The 4,320-nt window shown below is 49.9% G+C and overlaps 1 pseudogene; it reads left to right on the forward strand.

The window, feature by feature from the left end:
* Window positions 1,682–3,735, forward strand: LOC402229 (SURP and G-patch domain containing 1 pseudogene; annotated as a pseudogene).

The following is a 4,320-nucleotide window of genomic DNA, read 5'->3' on the forward strand; positions in this document are numbered from 1 at the left end:
ATCAGCTGAGCTACACAATGATCCCACAAAAAGAGCCAGGTTTTATATCAACCTCTTCTTTTGATCTTCTGTGACCTAGAGACTCACATAACAATAGTGTGCTCTGGCCCCAGACTCTCCAGATTGAATGAACCCTTTCTTTTCTCTTAGTTCCCACTTTGTCTTACTTTTCTTTTTTAACAGCTTTATTGAGATATAATTTATATATCATACAATGCACCCATTTAAAGTGACTAATCCAATGGTTCCTAATATGTTCACAGAGTTGTGCAACCATCACCACAATCAAGTCACTGATTCCCTTCTACTTTGTAAGTATCTCCCTTTACATTATAAGAGATTCTCCCTTTGAATTATAAATCCCAGAGTGCACGATGCCCCCTCCCTGTGTCTATGCCTCCCCTATAGCATCTAGCTCCAGATGTCAATATCAGTCATTCTAGATGCTTGTAGTATTATCACTCCCCACTTCTGCCCTTGTTCTACCTCTCTATCCTATGTTCAAATTTATAGAAAAAAGACAAATGTAGGCAGAAGAAAAATAATGTAAATACCATCATCAAACTGCTAATCAAAAAACTCTCTTCTTCTAGCCATGTCCCAATTATTAAGGTTTTGTTCTAAAAATAAAAATTAAAAAAACACTAAACAATTTTGGCTAATATCGTAAAATATGTGTTTCTGCAATGAGGCTGATATGACAGATATCACAAACCAAATATCTTATGCAGCTGTACCAAGTAAGAGCCCTACCAGAACTTGTTTCTGACTCTTGGATCCCTCAGTCCAGTCAAGGACATAAAAGAGATTGGAGACACTGGTAGGTTGAGAATATGGTGACAAGATCTCTTTGGAGAGGGCTCTCCTCTCCTCATCTCTAATACTTTAGAGGATGGGTTAAGGTATGCTGCCTTCTATCGCCAAACCTAGTTGGGGAGTCTCAGGGAACCCCTGCAACAGCTTGGAAATGTGCTCCCTGCTATTGGAGACATGAAAGACTGGTGCCTGACTTGGCCTGATGAAGCTCAAGTGGTCTGGGGACTAGGAAGTCTGGAAGCTCATTAACTGCTTGGATGGAGAAGCCAAGAGACCACTACGGCATCAGGACCGAGCCGAATGATGCTTTGTGTTTCACAACAGGTGTGTGTCAGGAAGGAGAGAGTGTCAGGGAGAGGTTATCCTCCTTCGCAGTCAACAGGACTATTTACAGGAAGGAAGAGCAGAAAGAGGCTGAGGTGTGTGGTGGATGCCCAGGAAGCAATCCATCTAAGTCCAGGGAGCTGCATAAGAGAAGCACCCAAGAGAGAAGCGTCGGCTTCATCATCTCCAGACCCACCCTGGAGCATCAGCTTTAACCATCCATATGTCCAGAGAAGCCGAAGCTTCCTAGCCAAGCAGTGCCCTCCCCTATACCTCTGCTCTCTCCTACCCTTAACACTGGCAGTTCCAAAATAGCAGTTTCTGAGATAGGAAGGAGGTGAGATGAGAGAGAGCCAGGAACTCACCCTGTCCCTACAGCAGGGAGCAGCCTGGAGCAGGTACAATCTGGGAAACAGGAGAAGAGGCGACCAAGGTCAGATCTTTGTTATCCCATGGTCAGGACATTCTAATTACTGAATTGTGAGTGTGTTCATGTCCTAAAGTGACTATAGGATTGTCACATGAGACTGAGTAGAGAGACTGTGGGACTGGATGAGTCTCAAGATGGACAACCGGGACGTTGCAGGAAAGGCTAACCGGTGGTTTGGGGTTTCTCCCCCTAAATCTGGAAAAATGAACATGAACATCCTTCACCAGGAACAGCTCATCGCTCAGAAGAAAGGGGAAATTGGATCCAAAATGCAACAGAAAGCCAAGCAGAATGAGGTGGCCAGCCCACAGCCCCCATATCCCGGCGAAATCACAAATGCACACAACTCTTCCTCCGTTTCAAACAAGTTTGCCAACGACGGTAGCTTCTTGCAGCAGTTTCTGAAGTTGCAGATGGCACAGACGAGCACAGATGCCCCTCACCCCCAACGCCAGGGCGCCCAGTGCCCCTCCCGGCACGCCTACCTCCTGCGCCGGGAAGAGGTCCCTCCTCATCAGCAGGCGGATAGGCCTAGGGCTGGCCAACCCGCCAGGCCGGTGAAGAGCTACTCTACTCGCACGCCAAGCAGCTGCCTGTGGCGCACCGCCCGAGTGTCTTCCAGTCCCACGACGAGGGTGAGGAGGAGGACTAGAAGCAGTGGCTGGAGATCAAAGTTTCACCCCCAGAGGGAGTCGAGACTCGGAAAGTGATAGAGAAATTGGCCCCTTTGTGGCAGAAGCAGGCCCCGAGTTAGAAAAAGTGATTACGGAGGACTACAAGGATAACCTGGCGTTTCCATTTTTGCACGGTAAGAATAGCAGGCAATTCCTCTACCACAGAAAGGAAGTGGCTGAGATAAGAAAGGAAGAGCAGAAGTCGCAGGCAGCCTCTCAGAAAGTTTCACCCCCAGAGGACGAAGAGGTCAAGAACCTTGCAGAAAAGTTGGCCGAGTTCATAGCGCGCGGGGATCCCGAGATGGAAACCATCGCCCTCCAGAAAAACCGCGAAAACCAGGCGTTCAGCTTTCTGTACGAGCCAGCCCAACAGCCAAGCGTCCAACTGCTACTGACAGAAGCTGGAGGAGTTCCAGAAAGCCAAGGCCGGCTCCACAGGCACCCGACCCCGGCCTGAAGCGCAGGTCTCCTCCTGAGGCCCGACAACCACCTGCCCCGCCTCGTCCTCGCCTGTGTCCCCCCCGTCATCCCCGCTCCAGGCGCCCCCGGGGAGCCAGCCTCCGCAGCCACCGTCAAGAGGAAGCCGAAGAGCCGGTGGAGGCCTGAAGAGAACAAAGTAGAGCTCTCACCTGCTGAGCTGGTGCAGAGGGACGTGGATGCCTCTCCCTCACCTCTGTCAGTTCAGGACCTCAAGGGGCTCGGCTATGAGAACGGGAAGTCCGTGGGTCTAGCGGGCCTCACGGAGCTATCGTGCTCCCAGAAGCAGCAGCTGAAGGACCAGCAGGAGATGCATCAGATGTACGACATGATCATGCAGCACAAGTGGGCCATGCAGGATATGCAGCTGCTGTGGGAGAAGGCGGTGCAGCAGCACCAGCACGGCTACCACAGCGACGAGGAGGTGAGCAGCGAGCTGCGCACCTGGGAGCACCAGCTGCAGCGCATGGAGATGAACAAGACGAGGGAATGGGCCGAGCAGCTGACGAAGATGAGCCGAGGCAAGCACTTCATCGGAGACTTCCTACCTCCAGACAAGCTGGAGAAGTTTATGGAGACTTTCAAGGCCCTGAAGGAGGGTCGCGAGCCTGACTACTCGGAGTACAAGGAGTTCAAGCTCACCGAGGAGAACGTGCTGATGAAGATGGGCTGGAAGGAGGGTGAGGGCCTCAGCGAGCCAGGGCATCAAGAACCCGGTCAACAAGGGCACCACCGCAGTGGCTGGTGCCGGCTTCGGCATTGACCCGCCAGCCGCTGTCTCCAAGGAAGACGGCGAGAACTAGGCCTTCCTCAAGAGGATGATGCCGGCCTACCGCTTCCGGCCCAACCCCCCGGAACAACCCCAGACGGTCTTACTACTGAGTGTTCTGGAAACACGTACTTTCTGAATGACCAACCGTCCCTGGACTGTAGCATGTTCCGACCTGTATTTCTGCCCACCCCTCCCGTTGTCACGAGTGCCGTGCTGTGTCATAAAGTCCCAGTGCTCATCCAAAAAAAAAAAAAAAATAGAATGAGTAGAGAAATCATGGGACTTCTAGAGTTTTCCTCCAGGGAGAGGAAATTATCATCACCAAATGAAGTTTAAACACACAGTGGTAAGATTATTTTTATTTAAGCTGTGTGGTTATCACCACACTTGTTCAGCATACCAGTTGTATAGATATTGTAAGAATGATTACATGTTTTCAGTCTTCTTAATGATAAATATCACTGTGTTGGACATTTATTATGTACAAGGCAGTATGGTAAACACATATTGTACCAATCAACATCCCAGAAAAAAAAAAAAAAAAACAAGGAGACATGGTTAAATTGGGATTTTCTTAAGAAAGTTTAATAAAGGGATTATTTGCAAAGATGTGGCAGGTTGTAGAGATGATGCTCTGCCCTGGAGCTAGTAATGGCAGGGCTGTTACCTGTCCTTAAGCCTGAAGGGAAGAGGGTAGGGAGTAGTTTTCCAGAACACAGAAGGAGAGTCTCCTAGAAAGCTTCTGGGGAGGAATAGTGACAGCCTAAGGCAATGCTGCAGGGCAAGCATTCAGAATAAATCCCCAGCCTCACTCTCAGCCCTCCCTC

The sequence above is a fragment of the Homo sapiens genome, chromosome 5, assembly GCF_000001405.40.
Source record: "Homo sapiens chromosome 5, GRCh38.p14 Primary Assembly".
In the NCBI taxonomy this organism is placed as follows: Eukaryota; Metazoa; Chordata; class Mammalia; order Primates; family Hominidae; genus Homo; species Homo sapiens.